This window comes from Homo sapiens, chromosome 8, assembly GCF_000001405.40.
Source record: "Homo sapiens chromosome 8, GRCh38.p14 Primary Assembly".
Taxonomy (NCBI): Eukaryota; Metazoa; Chordata; class Mammalia; order Primates; family Hominidae; genus Homo; species Homo sapiens.
In genome coordinates, this window is record NC_000008.11 from 23,190,155 (window position 1) to 23,212,083 (window position 21,929).

At 44.0% G+C, this 21,929-nt stretch overlaps 1 protein-coding gene and 1 pseudogene across 1 annotated transcript in view; one reads left to right on the top strand and one right to left on the bottom strand.

Moving 5' to 3' along the window:
• Positions 298-21,929, bottom strand: part of TNFRSF10A (TNF receptor superfamily member 10a) — a 34,651-nt gene continuing 13,019 nt past the window's right edge. The window contains exons 3-10 of the mRNA NM_003844.4: positions 12,494-12,607; positions 11,654-11,765; positions 10,533-10,606; positions 10,351-10,446; positions 9,732-9,763; positions 9,112-9,294; positions 6,978-7,050; positions 298-1,859 (exon numbers count right to left, since the gene is read on the bottom strand). Of these exons, the coding sequence (NP_003835.3) occupies positions 1,540-1,859; positions 6,978-7,050; positions 9,112-9,294; positions 9,732-9,763; positions 10,351-10,446; positions 10,533-10,606; positions 11,654-11,765; positions 12,494-12,607 (1,004 nt within the window). The 3' untranslated portion in view covers positions 298-1,539. The remainder of the gene's footprint in view (positions 1,860-6,977; positions 7,051-9,111; positions 9,295-9,731; positions 9,764-10,350; positions 10,447-10,532; positions 10,607-11,653; positions 11,766-12,493; positions 12,608-21,929) is intronic.
• On the top strand, positions 16,754-17,262 carry RPL23AP55 (ribosomal protein L23a pseudogene 55; annotated as a pseudogene).

Below are 21,929 nucleotides of genomic sequence, written 5' to 3' on the forward strand. Positions count from 1 at the left end.
CTGACCCTGTGATCCACCCACCTCGGCCTCCCAAAGTGCTGGGATTACAGGCGTGAGCCACCATGCCCGGCCACACGTAAGTGTTTTGATTAGTAAATCCAGGTAGAAGTTGTATGTGTGAACTGTAAATAATGTTGACAACTCTTAAGAATTGTCTGTTTTAATTAAACCAAGAAACTTAAACTAGCTTTCTATTTACTAAAGATTATCTCAGATCACGTGACCTTGAAAAACATTTAGATGGGCTCCAGTTTTTCTAAGAAAATGCTCCATTTATGGAAGCAATTCTTTTCTTTCTTTTAACCAAATCTTTGCATAGGTACCAAATAACACATTTGTTTAGGATGAGAGCTGCCCACTGCCCCCGCCAAAAAAAAGTACTTTTATATACAAAAGTCCAAATTTCCAAAGGTATATGTACTTTAATTGTGACTTGAACTCAAGGTAAATAAATTAAATAATTAATAAATTAACCTTAGCTTACTGGACGGCCACCATCTTATATGCTGTTCCCTTGACTGAAATGTTGTGGGGTAAATGACTATATATGAAATGGGACTTATTGGAGGAATTAATGCATCTGATAATGGAGGTTGAGAAGTTCCACAACAGGCCATCTGCACAGCAGAGACCCTGAAATGCTGGAAGCAGGACTTAATCCAGCCCAAAAACCTAAGACCCAGGGAAGCCGATGGTGTAATTCTTAGTTCAAGGCCAAAATCCTTAGATCCTTCGGGAGGCCACTGGTGTATGCCCTGGAGTCCAAGGGCTAGAAATCCTAGACTCTGATGTCCACAGGCAGAAGAGTGTCCCAGCTCCAGGAGATCAGATGGATTTGCTTTTCCTTTTTTTTTTGTTTTCTTCTATCTTGCTCCCCAGTCTGTCGGACGGTGCCCCCCCAAATTAAGGGTAGGTCTTTTCCACTCAGTCCACCCGATCGCATGCCAATCCCCTCTGGAAACACCCTCGAAGACATGCCCAGAAATAATGTCCCAGAAATAATGCCTTACCAGTGTTCTAGGTGTTCCTTAATCCATTCAAATTAACACCTCCAATTGACCACCATGATAAGGAAACACACGGAGGCCAGCTCAGGGGAGAACCAGATTTTCCTTTGGCATGTGAGCCTCAGTCGGGCAATAATTCTTTCAAGTTTATTTTATTTTATCTTGAGACAGAGTCTTGCTCTGTGTCCCAGGCTGGAGTGCAGTGGTGCAATCTCAGCTCACTGCCTCGTGGGTTCAAGTGATTCTCCTGCCTCAGCCTCCCGAGTAGCCGAGAATATATGCACACACCATCACATCCAGTTAATTTTTGTATTTTTTTGTAAAGACGGCATTTCACGATGTTGGTCAGGCTGGTCTTGAACTTCTGACCTCAAGTGATCCACCCGCCTCAGCCTCCCAAAGTGCTGGGATTACAGGCATGAGCCACTACACCTGGCTAAGAATTTACTTTGTATACATGTTAAAAAAAAAAAAAACCTAATATGTATTAACTCCTAACACCTAAGAGGAAACCTCTGGTAAAAAGAGTCTTTCACTCCAAGGACACGGCAGAGCCTGTGCCATCTTCTAAGTAGATGAACTTTCCAGAGTCCACCAAGAGGTCCTGAATCTTCTCTCTTGCATGTCTCTCTTCCATCCTCTCCAAGGCATCCAGCAGGGTGTGGATCGAGGCGTTCCGTCCAGTTTTGTTGACCCATTTCATCAGCATTGCATACAAGGCATCCCCTGGGCCTGCTGTACCAGCTCTGACCACATCGATCTCATTTTTCGTGAGGTCCAGCTGCCTCATGAGCTGGTCCCAGGAGTCAAAGGGCACGATGTTTGCAAACTTGTCAAAGAACAGCATCAGAGCTGGGTGGAGAAAGCCACAGAGACAGCCAGATGAGTTGGGACTCAGTTCAGAAGGGGCAGAGGATCCCACATCAGGCCCAGAACCCAAGGAGAGAACCTGGAGAGCCCCCTGCATGGGCAAACCTGTTGCTCCATTGCCCACCCACCTCCCATCCACAGAGAGCCCACCCACACTGCCTGGCCTCTGTGGCCCCCAAGGCGCTGACGGGCGTCAAGGTCACCAGAGAATCTGCCCTCAGAGAGGGCTGAGAACCCACCTGGGGAGGATGGATTGACCCTACGGAGGCAGAAAGCAAAGTGGGTGAGAGCCCGAGGGAGGGAGGGAGAGTGGCTGCAGCGGGAGCTCAGAGGATGCGGGCTGCCTGGGCTGCGCTTGTCATGGGAGCATGTCCCAGGGTGGCCACTTCTGCATCTGTGGAAAGTGCAGGGTCTGGGGCAGGGGACCTCTGCCCTCCCTGAGGCTGGGGCAGAGCTAGGTGGGGGCAAGCAGGCCCTGACCAAGAAGCAAACCTGAAGACAGAGCAAACCTGCCCAGATCTCAGGACTACCAGGGATTGAATGAAATGAGATGTGTGTGCAAAGCACTGCACACCACCATCCACAGGGATAGAAGGGGCCAGGAGTACCAAGCTATGTTTTCTAACAGCCTCATTTAAAGAACATAAAAAGAAAAAAGTGACATTCATTTTAATGTGTGGTACTGAATATGTGTAAAATATAATTTAATATGCAATGAGTATACAAAAACTGAAACTGACCCAATTGTCCCATAGAAAGGTTTTTTTGATAAACAGAAATTGACCCTTCTGGTCCTTAACGACTGGAAACTTAACATTTGTTTTATCTGAGTTACTTCCTCAGGAAAGACCTGCAAGCATCTCAAAAAAAGTAGCAAAGAACTGAAACTCACCAGATCACTACATCCAGACCATGATGGGATGTGGGACCCCTCATTCATCTTGATTGTTTCCTTGCCCCATTCTAGCTCCTACTTTCTTACACATTGTTACATTTCTTGCCTCCTATATAAACCCTTAGTTTTAGTTGGTCAGGGAGATACAGTTGAGACTGAGCTCCCATCTCTTCCACTGCAGCACCCTATTAAAGCCTTCTTGGCAATACTCATCATCTCAGTGACTGGCTTTCTGTGCAGCGAGCAGCGGGACCTAGACCAAACCCCTGAGGTTTTGGTAACAGGTTTTGGTTCCCTGGCTGGGAAAGTGTTGCTCATGGCTCTGCTGCCATGGGCCAGGAGACTCAGAAGCCCTCCCAAGCAGTTGCCCCGCTAACTTTGGCTGGAGGTGAGTTTCAGTCTCTCTCAGGTCCCACTGCAGCCGGCCCCAACCACATTCCTGATTACTTCCGAAGAACTGCCTTTGAAATTTGACATTTGCATCCAGACAGGTGATTGTCCTTTGTGGGCCCAGACAGCAGGATCTGCTCTTCTCAGTTTGAGAAATTTTTAAAGGAATTTCCATTTGCAGGTTGAACAGGCCCAAGTGACTGTGAGAGGGAAGCACTCTGCCTTTCAGTCTGGACACTCTTGGAGGCTTGTTTGTAATTGTGTGTTGTTTCAGGGCAAGTGAGTGTCTTTTGTGGGTACCAGGCAGCACGACTGGCTCCTCTCAATTTGAGAAATTTGAAAGCAATTTTTGTTGGCAGGTTGATCAAACCTAACCAATGGAGAGAGGAAGCACCCTGCCTGTTTCAGTCTGGACACTCTTGGAGCTTGTTTGTTGCTGCAGCAGTTGTATTATGTTTTGGTGATTATTTCTATGTGTTTGCTAGAGTCATGGGAAATTGGAATTCAGTAAACTTGGTATTCTTTTGTAATACTGTTTGGCTCCAATATTGCTTGGAAACTGAAGTTTGCTGCTGAATGAGAAAGTAGGATGGAGTTCCTGTATCCAGGCTTTTATGTTGCTGTTCTAAGCAGCATTGGGCCTGATTAGTTGGTTCTAGGTGGTGTTCTCTGCGATGCTGTTTGGAGTCTGCAGAGGTTTGGCCTTTAAAAATCAAACTGCCATGGAAACTGCTTTACCTAAAATTTGGGTTCACAACCTTCACTGAATTATCTATTGGAGCTAACAAATTTCAGCCATGTGAACATATTTGTAGACTGGTGAGTTTGTATTACTGTCTCATGGAGAGAGTTCAAAGGTAAAAGCTATTGGATCTTTGTGTGTGCATATAGGTCTAGATGTGTTTATGTGTATGTACATTTATTATTAAGTTACATGTTGTGTCTACCAAATTGACTTATAAGTAAAAGAGTACTCATAAATAAAGTAAATAATTCCAAGCAATTTTCAAGTTCATGTGACTTAAGTAAATCCTTACTAAACAAGTCAGCTTTAAAATTATTGGTAAAATAAGAAAACAGAAGTGTCTTCAGAATTGTCAGCATACATTTTTGTCTGGGCTTATATTTGTCTTTGCTAGATATTTTGAGATATCAGTTTGGCACAAAAACTTAAGACTACAAGCCCAACCAAAACAAAATGATCTTTGAGTCAAGCTTTTGATAAGTAAGATTAAATTAATGTTGTTGGTTTAATGAAAACAGCTGAGTCTTCTGACTTATTGGTGAAAATATCTATATATTTAACTTTGAAGCTCTTAGGTGAGCACCTGATGTTCACTGGCTATTAAAAAAATGGCTGACAAAGAAATTAACTAACTTTAAATGATGGTGTCTAATATCTCAATTTTCAGAAGCAATCTGGATAAACTTAAAAATGAAAGAATTGAGTAAATGTAAATGGGATGTTTTAAGTAAATTTTTCATATAATTAAAAATTGTTGTCATTGGATTACAGAGAAAACTTCCAGTGCAGTAACTGAAAGACCAATGTGTGGCCAGGCGCATTGGCTCATGTCTGTAATCCCAGCACTTTGGGAGGCCAAGGCAGGCGAATGTCTATCACTTGAGGCCAGGAGTTTGAGACCAGACTGGCCAACGTGGCAAAACCCTGTCTCTACTAAAAATACAAAAAGTACCCAGATGTGGTGGTGCACACCTGTGGTCCCAGCTACTCAGGAGGCTGAGGCGTGAGAATTGCTAGAACCCAGGAGGTGGAGGTTGCAGTGAGATGAGATTGCACCACTGCACTCCAGCGTGGGTGACAGAGTGAGACTCTGTCTCAAAACAAAAAAAGAAGAAAGACTGATGTGTTCATAAAGATTGTGATTGTTAACCAAACATGAAGCTGGGCAGGAGCTGATTGAGTGGACTGAACTAATAGAGGACTGAAATAATTCGTATGGCTTTTGTTGGTTTGAAATATTGCTGATTCTTTTGGTTTTGTTTTCCAGTCTGGAGAACTTTTTTCTTCTTTGCTATTTATAGCCTTTAAGTATACTTTAAGTATATTGAGTATACTTTTGTAAACAGAATTTGAGGCATATTTCTCTCTCTGCCTAATTTCTCTAGAATTTTTAAATTATTTGTGACTATTAATTCATGGCAATGTGTTTGCTTACATATGGTTAATAACAACGTTTTCTTTTACAATGGAACACAGTTGGATAAAATGGTTATTTTCTCAGGGCTTTGATTGCAATGGCCTCGTGAGAGGTTCCAGCAAAGCCAACTTAGGAGAGCCTATGTGGACAGTGATTTTTGCTGCACTTTGTGTGGGTAATCAGGCCACGTATATGGAACTAAACTTATTTTGCAGGTACATTGGTCCTGCTATAATTTGTCTTTGGTGGAAGTGGGGCCGAGAGAGAGAGATTGTGTTTCAGAAGAAACACAATCTTTTAGTATTAAATTAACCTTTGATTCCTGGGTGGCCATGAGGTCACCCATGGTATGTGAAGCTTCCCATGATGCCCCTCCTCAACCATGAAGCAGCCAGAAAGATCCAGGACCAGACTCTCTGTGACTGTGGGATTGATAAATAGAAAGGGAGAACTGAAATCAACCCAATATGTCCATCAAAAGGTTTTTTTGTTGTTGTTGTTGTTTTGATAAACATAGAAATTGACCCTTCTGTTCTTAAAGCTCAAATCTTACATTTGTTTTATCTGAGTTCCTTTTTCAGGAAATGACCTTCAGGCCTCTCAAAGTATCAAAGAACTGAAACTTACAAATCACTACATCCAATGGGATGCTGGACCCCTCATTCATCTTGATTGCTTCCTTACCCCTCCCTAGTTCCTGTTTTCTTACACATTGTTACTTTTTTGTTTTTTTGAGACAGAGTCTTGCTCTGTCACCCAGGCTGGAGTGCAGTAGCGCTATCTTGGCTCACTGCAAGCTCTGCCTCCCGGGTTCATGCCATTCTCCTGCCTCAGCCTCCCGAATAGCTGGGACTACAGGCGCCCGCCAATACGCCTGGCTAATTTTTTTTTGTATTTTTAGTACAGAAGGGGTTTCACCATGTTAGCCAGGATGGTCTCGATCTCCTGACCTTGTGATTCGCCCGCCTCGGCCTCCCAAAGTACTGGGATTACAGGCATAAGCCACCGTGCCCGGCCCACATTGTTACATTTTATCCCTACTATATAAACCCCTAGTTTTAGTCCATCAGGGGACATGAATTGGAGACTGAGCTCCCATCTCCTTGCCTACAGCACTCAATGAAAGTATTCTTCCTTGTCAATACTAATTGTCTCAGTGATTGGCCCTCTGTGCAGTGAGCACCAAGACCTAGACCCAACACCTGGTGTTTCGGTAACAAAATAATGAGTGGAATATTTTCCATTCTTTCTTGCATTAAGTCTTTGGAATCAGTATGTAGTTTATACAACAGCTCTGCAAATTGGGCTTAGGCACAGATAAAGAGCTATTAGCCCACTGAAGTCAGTGGTGCCATGCAGGACAGGGCAGCCCCTCAGGGCTGTTGTTCTCCTGAACAACAAAGGAGAAGAGAGGAGGTGGAGAAGAGGATAGACAGAGTGGCTAGTGTCATTAATAGGGTGCAGAAAGGATGAGGTAGAGTGGGAAGAAGAGATGGGAGAAGACAATTTAGGGTCTTGATGGTCTATAGCATAGGACCCCCAGTTTCTGGCATGGAATGCTCTGGAAGAGCACTCTCAGCAATGGGGACACCAGTTAGGACACCGTCCCTATTCCCACCATTTCTGCTGCATCTCCAGGAGCAAAACACTTACTCTCAGTGGGGTCAGCACCATTTGCTGGAACCAGCAGCCTCCTCCTCTGAGACCCTTCAGCTTCTGCCGGTCCCTGTAACACACAGTGGGGAATGCCTTGGTCTGAGTCAGGGGTCCTGCAGTCTAGTACTGACTCTGACCATCAGCCAGCCCGGAAACCTGCAGCACATCACTTTCCCCCTTGGGTCACCATGGAGATGGTGAAAAACCTCTGGTCCCACATAGCTCACAGCCACTCCCCATTGCTGGCATTACCACCTCAGCTCCACCCGGTCAGATCAGTGGCAACATTAGATTCTTATAGGAGTGCAAACCCTATTGTGAACTGTGCACGTCAGGGATCTGGGTTGCATACTCCTTATGAGAATCTTATGCCTGATTATCTGTCACCGTCTCCCATCACCCTCAGATAGGACCATCTCGTTGCAGGAAAACAAGCTCAGGGCTCCCACTGACTCTACATTATGATAAGTTGTATAATTATTTCATTATATATTATAATGTGATAAGAATAGAAATAAAGTACACAATAAACGTAATGTGCTTGAATCATCCCCAAACCATCTTCACCTCCCAGTCCATAGAAAAATTGTCTTCCACAAAACTGGTCCCTGGTGCCAAAAGGTTGGGGACCATTCGTTAATAATATAATGTCTTTTGTATACACATACACTGATGCATAGATTTGGACAAAGAATCACAAGAAATGATATCTCATAGTTACTTGAGGAAAAAGACCCAGGGCACTGCAGAGTGGAGGATGCTCTCTTTACTTACTGAGTACCTTTTGATAGTTTAAATTTTCTCATTTTAAATATATAAACTATTTGTTCATGTCAAAGCACCTTATCAAGCTGGAGATTATTGACCTTTTTAATGTTTGCCTTCTTTTTTTTTTAATTACATTTTTGGTTAGAATAAATGGGTACTAATGCAAGAAAGGAACTGAATGGAACAGTCTAGGTGGAAGGAGATCATTGTCTAGATGAGCATTTAACCTGTGATTAAGGAGGGACCCAAAGCAGAGGGAAATGGGAGAATCGGCAGCTCAAAGGGGTTGGAAAAACCAGACAGTGACTAGAACAATTCAGGGAGTGCCTCGCTTTGCACTGAAACACAAAACAAGTTCCATTTAGATTATAAAGTTATATGCAAAAATCACATCATTGAAAAAAATATCTCCATAAGAAGTTAGAGGAGTTCGTCTTGTGTTGGCAAAAGGTCTTTCTACAGTAGTGAGCAATGAAAAGGTAAAAGTATCTACAGATTTCACTGGTTAAAAATTAAAGCTTCTACACCTGAAAATATTAGAACAAAAAGGGGCAAGAAGAAATTAGGAATCTACTGTCTGAATGTGAGAAAAAGCATGAGTAGGAGAGCAGGCCTTCTCATAAAGACTCTGAGAGACAAGACACTGATCTTACGCAAAAACAGTGAAAACAAAGAAATGTTCGTTTAAAACAATGTTTTCCTAAATAGCAAAAAAAAGAAAAAAAAAGAAAAGAAAAAGCCCTTCAATGTCAAATCAAAATACATGAACTGGTACAAACCAACACTAGGGGGCTGTGTGCATGTGTGTACCTGTATGTGTGGGTACGTGCATGTGTGTGTGCATGTGTGTACATGCATGTGTGTGCATGTGCGTGTATGTGCGTGTACACAGTAAGCAGCACTGTTACAGGCTGACTTGGAAATTGTGCTTCTTCTTGGAATCCTCCATACAACCATATGCAGAAATTTGGGCAGAGATTTAGATCCAAATATGTTTAATGCAATAATAATTTCAGAGTAAATTTAAAATCCCTGCTGTTATGAGCAAGGGCTCCCTAACTTCTGTAGGAGCACACAGTGGAGACCGTGCAGCCTTATTCAGTCATCAACAAACCCTGTGACCCCCACTCTATTCCTCTGGAGCTCCAGTTTCTGAGGACATGGCAAGGACAGGACAGGGACTAAGAAGCAGACATTTGGAAGAGTGCCTGTCCCCTTGTGAGGGTGGCTGCTTTTTCCCACGCAGCCCCGTCCCCTGCAGTCCCATCTCCCTCAGGCTCCACTTCCCCTTTGACCAGGAGAGCCGAGGCATGGCCTTCACCCCCTGCCTACAAGGTCTTGGAGGGGCCTGTCCCCAACTCACCAGCAGACACTGTGCCTCCCCTGGGGACTGTACAGTGACACCTGTCAAATCTGCCGGCTCCTGGCTTTCCATTTGCTGCTCAGAGACGAAAGTGGACAGCGAGTCTGCGTTGCTCAGAATCTCGTTGTGAGCATTGTCCTCAGCCCCAGGCCCTCGTAGGAGACCCAAGCGCCAGAAACACACCTTAGGAAGGCAAAGAGCCAACTCAGAAGCCCACACCCAGGGCTCCCCACGGGGTCCGTAGGGCACGGCTGGACCTGCTGCCACCACCCCCTCCCAGTGAGGTCACTCCAGGAAGTCCATGCTCAGCACATCCAGGACCTGCTGCTGGGGCCAGGCCCTGGTGCTGGGCTTGGGGGCTCACCCCATCCCCAGGGTACAGGCTGTGGGGTAAGGGTCTCACCTGGGCTGTAGGAAGCACAGGGCTACAGAATGGCCCACCAGCCTGTATGATGCTCAAAAGGGCCTGTGTCCCCCATAGTCAATGCACAGCATCCAGGCCACTTCAGAGACTCAGGGCAGCCATGAGAGCACGGGGACCCACCCACCTGGACTACACTGTGGGCAAGAAGCAGTTCCTGAGCCCCTGATGCCCCCAGCTCCTGGAGAAATCAACTCACCCTGTCCATGCACTTGGGGTCCCCTCCACAACCTAGAAGAGAAGACGGTTCCCTTAGTGGCCAGGGAGGGGCCCATGCAGCACTCCTTCTTAGAGGGCAGTGTTGGGCAGGGGTGGGCTGGGGGCTGGGACACTGGACAAAGATCCCCGGGCCTGGGGATCCACATGAGGCCCTGCTAACTCGGGAGATCCTTCAGGAGCGGGGAGCATAAAGGGAAGTAGGCTAAAAACAAACAAGTGGAACATCACTGTTTTCTGCTCTGTGTTTTGCTCTGAACAAAGCTACATAAATCCCACAACCACTTCTCGTCTCGACTCTTGTCATCCAGTTGAGGAGCTGACTGCCCCCTGCCTGGATGGGCCTGACCAGTGGAGGAACTGGCCCTGCCTTCCCAGACTTGGCTGGGAGATGAGGGGACCCCCAGCCTTGGGAGAGGGACGGATGACACCAGGGCCCTAGGGTTGCACAGGATGGGAGGATGGGGGGTGATCACAAGGAGGAAGATAGAGCCCGGCCAGAGACACTAGGACTTGGGGCAGGGGTGAGCGTTTCTGTCTGTGGGAACAGAAGAAGGCAGGGCAGAGAGTGCCCAGAGCCCTTGCCCTCAGCCAGCACCTACCTGAGCCGATGCAACAACAGACAATCAGCACAGCCACCAACAGCAACGGAACAACCAAAGTCACAACCAAAATCACCCATATATTATGTCCATTGCCTGAGAAAAGACAGGAAAAGACAGGAGTCTCGGGCTGCTGGTCCCTGTCTCCTCTGCAGCTGGGGCTTCCCCAGTGGGCTTTGTACCTGATTCTTTGTGGACACACTCGATGTCACTCCAGGGCGTACAATCCTTGACCTTGACCATCCCTCTGGGGCACCTGGGTACACACAGGGAGGGAGGGGGGGGACTCTTGATGGAAAGCTGGCCAGGTGGGATGAAAGAGGAGCCACTCTCCCTGCCCAATGTCCCTGAGAAGGCGTCAGGGGAAGGATAGTCTCCTCGTATCTGCAGGGGGTCCCCCTATGCTCCCTTGTTTAGGCTGGGGAAGGGTCTGAGCATGCACACTTTACCCCCTTGGCCTCCCTGCTCTGGGGTCAGAGCTGCAGTTCCAGGAGCCTTCTGTGCTGGGCACACACTAATCTTCCCTGGGCTGCAGGGGAGGCCTGCGTTAGGAGGAATCACACTCCAGGGGAAGATCACAAGCCCGTGTGGCCACAAGCTGAGCCCCTTCCTCCAGTTAACCCACAGTACAAGTGAGCCCTCGCCCCCACCTGTCTGCTGGTTCCTCTCAATCACAGCAAACACTGGAGGACCAGAGAAGAGCAATTACTCTTTGCTTCCAAAACCAAAATAGGAAAAAGACAGGACTTATTGAGAAATCAGGGGCCAGGGGTGAGGCTGGCTGGGTGGGCTCAGGTCCTCATGGGAACTTGAAGGAGCTCCACCCATGGCCTTATTATGATTTTTGCGGGCTGTGGGCATTTCTGTCTTCTTGAATTAAAAGCAAATATTAAAAATTACATTTTATGACTCAATTTGTTTAAATATAAATATAACCCCAGCTGGATTCTATACCATTATTTTCTTATGATTTCAAGATAAAATATTTCATGTACCTCTGTTGTGGGCCCTAAGTCATGGCCTCCTGTGCCTAGTGAACAAGTCAGCCTGGCCAAGGGGACTAGTGCTGGGGAGGGGTGAGAAGGGGCCACTGCAGGGGACAGGGGTGGGGACAGGCAGATGGACCAGGAGGGGCAGGTTGCAGGCTCAGGAGACGCCACAGGCTCAGGGACACCTATGGGGGTGGAGGCACCATGGGGTCAGGGCTGATAGATACGGGTACAAGGAGACTCGGGTCTTTTTAGGGTTCCTTGCTTCTGTGGGTTCTTTGAGGCTGCTGGGAGCCCCTTGGCTGTTGTCTCACCCTCTGCTGCACTTCCGGCACATCTCAGCAGAATTGTCATTCCGGAAAGTTCCTGGTTTGCACTGACATGCTGTGTTCCTGGTCGTGGTGCAGGGACTTCTCTCTTCTTCATCTGATGACAGAGTACAAGGTTTTGGGAATGTGTTTCCCTGACGTGTCCCTTGACCTTTCCTCACCACCCCAACTCCCTCCCCCTCAGCTCAGCTCAACTCAGTTTGCCAAGGAGTTCTGAGGGCCAGATTCTGCACCAGCACACTCGGGCTCACACAGGACACCCACCCTTCAGCTGTCACCAACACTTGGAGTCATACAAAAGGACCATGATTCATTATTTATTACATCAGATTAGGGAAAAAGCACCATTTAGATCGCATGGTCAGTAGCAAAGGAGGCACATGGTATGTGAGAGAGTCTGCAAGAAGAGGAGCCCTTGGGTGACTTCCCAAAAACCCAGCCTGCTGAGGAAGAGGGAGGCGCCTGAGAAACTGAAGGCTGAGTGAGCCTGAGAACCTGCCAGGAGCACACAGCCCAGGGGGAGCGTGGCCCCAGAGCAGACCCGTACCACCGCTGAAACTCAGCCCTGTCCACTCAGCCAGGCCTTCTTTGTGCTGTAATGATGCCCCTACCCTCTTGGAGCTGATAGTTTGCACTACCAGGTGGCATGCATTATAAAAATGATTTCTTTCTGTTTCATTTTATGGACCTAAGACATAACCATGGAACAGGGTATGATGAAGACCAAGTTGGGCTGGAACTTGGTTCCCTGACTCACATTGGCTACCACTCCCACCTCACTGCCCCTCACTCCACCTCTGGACAAGAGGTCCACACATTCTGTACCTGATTTACAAGCTGTACATGGGAGGCAAGCAAACAAATTGTTGGAAGCATTGGTGTAACCCACACCCTCTGTGCACCGGTTACAGGCTCCAGGATGTTCTGATCTATGAGATCCTGGGAAGGGAGAGAAAAGCCAATGAATGAATTGCCACAGAGTTCCCAGAGGATCGTGGCGGTGGCTAGGAAACTCTTCTTTTGGCCATCAGTAGACCCCAGACAGAGAAATCCCATCTTCTTGGCTTGGTCTTGTCGTCAATTCTGCATCTATACACACCTCTGACTGGCGCTGCTGACAGAAATACAATACAAACCACATGCAAAATTCAAATTCTATGAGAGCCATATTAAAATAGTAAAAAGAGAATGAGGTCAAATTAATTTTAACAATGTACTTTTTGGACCTAAAATATCCAAAACATTAGCATTTCAACATGTAAACAAGATAAAACATTGAGATATTTTCTTTTATTTTGAATACTAAGTGTTCGAAACCCAGAGTGTATTTTTCACTCACTGCACATCTCAATTCAAAGTGGCTGTGTTTTAAGTGATTAATGGCCACATAGGCCTAGAGACCAGGGCAATGCCACCTGCATCCCTGGAAACTCACAAAAAGTCCTAATCCCTGCCCTCAGTGAGCTCTTGGTCAGTAGAAGGTACAAACAGGCGCAGAAACAATACAGCGATGAGGGGAAGGCTTCAGATACAGCCCATGCCACCTGCCATGGGAGGAAAATGGAAGGAAAAAGGGTCCTCCCTATACAGAGTCAAAGAATGATCCACAGAAAGAAGGCCTACCTCATGCTGCCCTGGATTGCAGAGGGTCTCCAGGCACTGAGGTGACAGCCTGCAGGAGCTGTCGCCAGCGGGAGCCCATGTCTGGAGGCTCGACCTTCACCTCCAGGGCTTCGCCCCTTCAGGTGACCTCACTCTCCCCTTTCAGTGCCCATTTATTTATCCCTCTCCTCTGATTCATATTTACTGATATTGAAAGATACTCTTAGAAAACCCAAACTGTGGAAAAAAAACTTCCTTGATAATGTGTTACGATGACGACACTACCAATTATAAAAATGTGGTTATTGAGTAATAGTGCTGGGGCAACTAAGGTTACTACTGAAAAATAATAAAGGCTTTTTTTTTTTTTTGAGATGGAGTCTCGCTCTCTCACCAGGCTGGAGTTCAGTGGCGTGATCTTGGCTCACTGTAACCTCCGCCTCCTGGGTTCAAGCGATTCTCCTGCCTCAGCCTCCCGAGTAGCTGGGACTACAGGAGCGTGCCACCACGCCTGGCTAATTTTTTGTATTTTTAGTAGAGACGGGGTTTCACTAGGTTTCACCAGGATGGTCTCGATCTCCTGACCTCATGATCCACCTGCCTCGGCCTCCCAAAGTGCTGGGATTACAGGAGTGAGCCACCGTGCCACTGTGAAGGAAAAACTTCCTTGCTGATGTGTTATGATGATGACACTATCGATGATAAAAATATGATTATTCAGTAATGGCGCTGGGGCAACTAAGGTTACTGCTGAAAAATAATAAAGCTTCTTGCTTATGCTCTCCCTATAAGGAAATAGAGACTAGGTCTATCAAGGTGTCAACTGTAAAGTATGAAATCACACAAGTACTGCATGAGAAATTTTTCTTACAAGTTTGGAGAGAGAAAGGACCTTCTCAGTCTCACGAGAAACTAAAAAGTTGCATAAAGTTAACTATATGAAAATTAGGAAGAAAACTGCATGGAAGAAATCTTGACTAAGATGAAAACAAAGTAGGAGAAAATACTTGCAATGAAAACCACACTGCAAAGCATAGTTTCCTTAACCTATAGGAATTCATACCAAAAAAATCTAGAAAGAACATCAACAAGAAAGTAGTAGACTTGAACAACACTATTAACAACTAGACTGGACAGATGTCTATAAAACACTCTACTCAATCAAAACAAGATACACATTCTTTTAAAGTGCACATAGAACATTCTCCAAAATAAACCATATGCTTGGCCATAAGATAAACCTCAATACACTTAAAAGGATAGAGATAATACAAAATACACTCTCCTACCACAATGGAATAAAATTAGAAATCAATAGCAGGAAGAAACTGGGGAACATCACAGCTATATAAAAATTAAATAGCACACTCCTAAATAACCAACTGGTCTAAAAAGAAATCAAAAGAGAAATCAGAAAATAAGACGAATGAAAATGAAGACACAACATACCAAAACCTATGGGATACAGCTAACGTAGCTGAAGTTTACAGAGAAATTGTCTATTAAGGAAGAAGAAATATCCTTCCTAAATGTCTATTAAGGAAGAAGAAATATCTCAATCTATAACCTAATAATCCACTCTAAGACACTCGAAAAAGAAGAGCAAACTATAGATAAAGCAAGCAGAAGGAAGAAAATAATACAGATTAGAGCAGAAATTAATGAGACGGAGAACAGAAAAACAACAGAGTAAATTAATGAACTCAAAATCTAGTTCTTTAAATAGATCGATATATTGGCACAACTAATTGTGTTAAAAAATTAGCACAGGGAAAAAATAAGACTCAAATTATAGTCACGCACTGCATGATGACGTTTCGGTCAACAATGAACCACATATGTGACGGTGGTCCCATAATATTATAATGGAGGAGGAAAATTCCTATCGCTTAGTAATGTCATAAGTCAATGCGTTACTCAGGTGTTTGTGGTAATGCTGATGTAAACAAACCTACTTCACTGCCAGTTAAAAGTATAGCACATATAATGAAGTTCTATATATAATATTTGATAATGATAATAAATGACTTACTGATTTATGTATTTTTGATACTATACATTGTAATGTTATTTTAGAGTGTACTCCTACTTACAAATAAAAAAGGTAACTATAAAACAGCCTCATGCAGTTTTCCAGAAGAAGGCATTGTTATCAGAGGACATAGGAGTTGACAGCTCCATGTGTGTCTGCCCCTGAAGATCCTCCAACGCGACAAGATGTGGAGGTGAAAGACAGTGATGTTGATGAACCTGTCCTTGTGTAGACCTAGGTTAATGTCTGTGTTTCTTTTTTTTTTTTTTTTTGAGAAGGAGTCACACTCCGTCACCCAGGCTGGAGTGCAGTGGCGCAATCTCAGCTCACTACAACCTCTGCCTCTCAGGTTCAAGCGATTATCCTGCCTCAGCCTCAGCCTCCCGAGTAGCTGGGACTACAGGTGCCTGCCACCATGCCCAGCTAATTTTTTGTATTTTTAGTAGAGACAGGGTTTCACTGTGTTAGCCAGGATGGTCTCGATCTCCTGACCTCGTGATCCGCCTGCCTTGGCCTCCCAAAGTGCTGGGATTACAGGTGTGAGCCACTGCGCCCGGCCAATGTCTGTGTTTCTATCTTAGTTTTTAACAAAAAAATTTTTAAGTAAAAAAAAGTTTAAGTTAAAAATACAAAAATGTTTATAGAATACGAATATAAAGAAAGAACATTTTTTGTACAGCTGTACAGTTTTTGTTTTTTAAGCTAAGTGTTAAAACGAGTGAAAAAGTTTTAAAAATTAAAAAGTTTATAAAGTAAAATAGTTACACGAAGTTAATATTGAAGGAAGGAAAAAAAAATTTACAGATTTGGTGTAGCCTAAATGTACAGTGTTTATAAAGTCCATAGTAGTGTACAGGAATGTCCCAGGCCTTCACATTCACTCACCACTCACTGACTCACCCAGACAAGATCCAGTCCTGCAAGCTCCATTCATGGTAAGTGCCCTAGACAACTACATCATCTTTTTTAACCTTTTATACCATATTTTTATTGGGCCTTTTCTATGTTCACATGTTTAGGAACTCAAATACTTATCATTGTGTTACAATTGTCTACTAGTACAGGTTTGTAATCTAAGAGCAATAGGCTATATCACATAGCCTAGGGATGCAGTAGGCTATATCATCTAGGTTTGTGGAGGTACACTCTATGATGTTTGCACAATGATGCACTTGTCAGAATGAGTTCCCATCATTAACTGAGGCATGACTGTATTAGAATCAGAAATGAGAGAGAGCACATTACTACAGATTATATAGAAATAAAAAAATTATAAAAGAATACTATGAAACCTGTACAACAAAAAATTAGGTACCTTGGATGAAAGGGGCAAATTCCTAGAAAGACACAAACTACTGAAACTGAATCAAGATGAAAGAGACAATGTGAATAGACATATAGCAAGTAAAGATTTTGACTTAGTTATCAAAACTACTCCTAAAGAAAAGTCGTTTTCACAAGATGGCACTGAAAGCAAAGAAGGAAGCTCCTGCCCCTCCTAAAGCTGAAGCGATGCAAAGGTTTTGAAGGCCAAGAAGGCAGTGTAGAAAGGTGTCCACTGCCATGAAAAAAAGAATATCCATACATCACCCACCTTCCGGTGGCCCAAGATACTGAGACTCTGGAGAGCACCCCCAGGAGAAACAAGCTTGACCACTATGCTATCATCAAGCTTCCACTGACCACTGAGTATGCCATGAAGAAGATAGAAGACGACAACAACACACTTGTGTTCATTGTAGATGTTAAAACCAACAAGCACCAGATCAAACAGGTTGTGAAGAAGCTCTATGATGTTTATGTGGCCAAGGTTCAACACCCTGATTAGGCCTGATGGAGAGAAGAAGGCATATGTTCGACTGGCTCCTGATTACCATGTCTTGGATGTTGCCAACAAAATTGGGATCATCTAAACTGAATCCAGCTGGCTAATTCTAAATACATGTATATGTTTTCACCAGAAAAACAAAGTTGAGGCCCAGATGCCTTTACCACTGAATGATACCAACCATTTCAAGAAGAATTAATACCAATTATTCAGAAACCCTTTTTAAAGACAGCAGAGGAAGGAGCACTTTCCAATTCATTGTATAAGGACAATATTACTGATATGATTTGGCTGTGTCCCCACACAAATCTCATCTTGAATTCCCGTAAGTTGTGGGAGGGATCCAATGGGAGGTAATTGAATCATGTGGGGCAGGTCTTTCCCTTGCAGTTCTCATGATAATGAGTAAGTCTCATAAGATCTGATGGTTATTATAAGGGGGAGTTTTCCTGCACAAGCTCTCTTTGCTTGCTGCCATCCATGTAAGACATGACTTGCTCCTCCTTGCCTTCCATCATTATTGTAAGACTTCCCCAGCCACGTAGAACTGTAAGTTCAATTAAACCTCTTTCTTTGTAAATTGCCCAGTCTTGGGAATGTCTTCATCAGCAGCACGAAAAAAAAAAAAAAAAACTAATACAGTAAATTGGTACCAGTAGAGTGGGGAGCTGCTGAAAAGATACCTGAAAATATGGAAGCAACTTTGGAACTGCATAACAGGCAGAGGTTGGAACAGTTTGGAGGGCTCAGACGAAGATAGGAAAATGTGGGAAAGTGTGGAACTTCCTAGAGACTTGTTGAATGGCTTTGACCAAAAGCCTAATAGTGATATGGACAATAAAGTCCAGGCTGAGATGATCTCAGATGGAGATGAGGAACTTATTGGGAACTGGAGCAAAGGTGACTCTTGTTATATTTTAGCAAAGAAAGCAAAGAGAGTGGTGGCATTTTGTCCCTTCCCTAGAGATCTGTGGAGCTTTGAACTGGGAAGAGGTGATTTAGGGTATGTGGCAGAAGAAATTTCTAGGCAGCAATGCATTCAAGGGGTGACTTGAGTGCTGTAAAAGGCATTCAGTTTTTTTGTTTATTTGTTTGTTTCTTTGTTTTTAACCAATGTTGCATTCCTAGGATAAAACTTACTTGGTCCTGGTATATAATTCTTTTTTTGTTTTGTTTTGTTTTTTGTTTTTGAGACAGAGTCTTGCTCTGTTGCCCAGGCTGGAGTGCAGTGGCATGATCTCGGCTCACTGCAAGTCCGCCTCCTGGGTTCACACCATTCTCCTGCCTCAGCCTCCTGAGTAGCTGGGACTACAGGCACCCACCACCATGCCTGGCTAATTTTTTTGTATTTTTAGTAGAGACGGGGTTTCACCGTGTTCGCCAGGATGGTCTCAATCTCCTGACCTCATGATCCACCTGCCTTGGCCTCCCAAAGTGCTGGGATTACACGCATGAGCCACCGCGCCTGGCCGGCATTCAGTTTTATAAGGGAACCAGAGCATTAAAGTTTGGAAAATCTGCAACCTGACAATGTGCTAGAAAAGAAAACCCATTTTCTGAGGAGAAATTAAAGATGGCTGCATAAATTTGCATAAGTAATGAGGAGCTGAGTGTTAATCCCCAAGACAATGGGGAAAATGTCTCCAGGGCATGTTAGAGGTCATCATGGCAGCCCCTCCCATCACAGGCCCGAAGGCCTAGGAGAAAATAGTTTCCTGGTAGGAGTCCAGGGTCTTGTGCTGTGTGGAGTCTAGGGACTTGGTGCCCTACATTCCAGCCACTCCAGCTGTGACTAAAAGGGGCCAAGGTACAGCTTGGGCTGTTGCTTCAGAGGTGGAAGCCCCAAGCCTTGGCAGCTCCCACATGGTGTTAAGCCTGCAGGTGCACAGAAGTCAAGAATTGAGGTTTGGGAACCTCCACGTAGATTTCAGAAGATGTATGAAAACGCCTGGATGCCCAGGCAAAAGTTTGCTGTAGGGGCAGGGCCCTCATGGAGAACCTCTGCTAGGGCAGTGTGGAAGGGAAATGTGGCATCAGAGCCCCCACACGGAGTCCCTACTGGGGCACTGCCTAGTGGAGCTGTGAAAAGAGGGCCATTGTCCTTCAGACCCCAGAATGGTAGAACTGCTGATAACTTATACACCGTGCACCTAGAAAAGCTGCAGACACTCAACACCGGCACGTGAAACCAGCCAGGAGGGGCGCTATACCTTGCAATGCCACAGGGGCGGAGCTGCCCAAGACTATGGGAACCCGCCTCTTGCATCAGTGTGACCTGGATGTAAGACAAGGAGTCAAACGAGATCATTTTGGAGCTTTAAGATCTGACTGCCCTGCTGGATTTCAAACATGCATGGGGCCTGTAGCCCTTTGTTTTCGACAATGTCACCCATTTGGAATGGATGTATTTATCCAATGCCTGTACCCCCATTATATCTAGGAAGTAACTAACTTGCTTTTGATTTTATAGGCTCATAGGCAGAAGGGACTTGCTTTGTCTCACATGAGACTTTGGACGGTGAACTTCCGAGCTAATGCTGAAATGAGTTAAGACTTTGGGGGACTGTTGGGAAGGCATGATTGGTTTTGAAATGTGAGGACATGAGATGTGGGAGGGGCCAGGGGTGATAGGGTTTGGATACATTCTCACTCAAATTTCATGTTGAATTCCCACATGTTGTGGGAGGGACCTGGTGGGAGATATCTGAATCACAGGGGCAGGTCTTTCCCATGCTGTTCTCATTATAGTGAGTAAGTCTCATGATATCTGATGGTTATTATAAGGTGGAGTTTTCCTGTACAAGCTCTTTGCTTGCTGCCATCCAAGTAAGATGTGACTTGCTCTTCCTTGTCTTCTGCCATGATTGTGAGGCTTCTGCAGCCACATGGAACTGTTAAGTCCAATTAAACCTCTTTCTTTTGTAAATTGCCAGCTTTGGGTATGTCTTTATCAGCACCATATAAACGGACTAATACAATTAGCTTAATATGAAGACCAGAAAAGGACCTCATAAAGAAAGAAAACTACAGACTAACGATTCTTATGAATATTGTTGCAAAAATTTGCAACAAAATACTAGCAAGTTGAATCCACAAGCATACAAAAAGAATTATAGGCTGGGCACGGTGGCTCACGACTGTAATCCCAGCACTTTGGAAGGCTGAGGCAGGCAGATCACAAGGTCAGGAGATCTAGACCATCCTGGTTAACACGGTGAAACCCCGTCTCTACTAAAAAATACAAAAAATTAGCTGGGCGTGGTGGCAGGCGCCTGTAGTCCCTGCTACTTGGAAGGCTGAGGCAGGAGAATGGTGTGAACCCGGGAGGCAGAGCTTGCAGTGAGCCGAGATCGCGCCACTGCACTCCAGCCTGGGCAACAGAGTGAGACTCCATCTCAAAAACAAAAAACAAAACAAAACAAAAAAGAATTATATACCAGGACCAAATAAGTTTTATCCTAGGAATGAAAGGTTGGTTCAACATCCCAAAATAAATTGATGTAACAAATTATATCAATAGAATGAAAACCAAAAGTCACATGATTATCTCAAAAACACAGAGAAAGCATTTTACTAACTCCAACACCCTTTCATGATAAAAATCACAAAATAATCTAGGAATAAAAGTGAACTTCCTCAACCTGATAAAGAATATCTACAAAAACCCACAGCTAACATTATATTTAATGGTGAACAACTGAAAGATGTTCTCCAAAAAAGATATCTGTTTTCACTACTTTTATTCAATATGGTACTGGAGGCTCTAGCCAGGACAATTAGGTAAGAAAAAGAAATAAAAAGCATCCAGATTGGAAAAGAAAAGGTAAAACTTTCTCTATTTGCAAATTATATTTTCTTATATAGAGGAAATCCTAAGGAAGCCATTATAAAAACATTAAGAATAACAAACAAGTTCTGCAAGGTTATAGAATACAAGATCAATGTACAAAAATCAATTATATTTGTATACACTCACAATGAATCCTAAAATGAAATTAAGAAAAGGTTTTATCCACAATAGCATAAAAAAGTATTAAATATCTAGGAATAAGTTTAACAAAATCAACCCAAAATTTATAGTCTGCAAACTACGAAACATTATTTTAAAAATTAGAGATGATTTAAATAAATCAAAAAAACTCATGCTTTGGGATCAAAAGACTTCTCATTGTTAAGATGCCAGGAACCTCTAAACTGAGCAACAGGTGCAACACAATCCCTGTGAGAAACTCAGCTGATTTTAGAAATTGGCAAGCTGATCCTAAAATTAATATGGAATTTCAAAAAGCCCAGCATAAACAAAATAATTCTGGAAAAGGAAAACAAAAAAGAAAGATTCATACTTCCTGATGTCAAAACTCACTACAAGACTGTGTGGCACTGGAAAGAGGACAGATATAGATCAATGGAAAAGAATTGAGAGTCCAAAAATACACCCATACCTTTATGGTCAATTGGTTTTTGACAAGGATGCCAAGGCCATTTAATGGGAAAAATCATCATTTCAACGAATGGCAACTGGATAGCCACATGCAAAAGAATGCAGTTGGACGCTTATCTGATGCCATTTACAAAAATTAACTGAAAATGCATCAAGAGTTAAAGTACAAAACTCTTAGGAGAAAACATGGGGATAAAGCTTCATAACCTTGGATTTGGCAAAGGATCAATAAGTATCTGTTGAATAGAAGAACCAGAAACTGTAGGAAACAGAAAACTTGAAGAACATGGAAAAGGAATGTTATTGATGAATTTTGAGATAATTTTTGTATATAGTATAGGGTAAGGAAAAGAGAGGT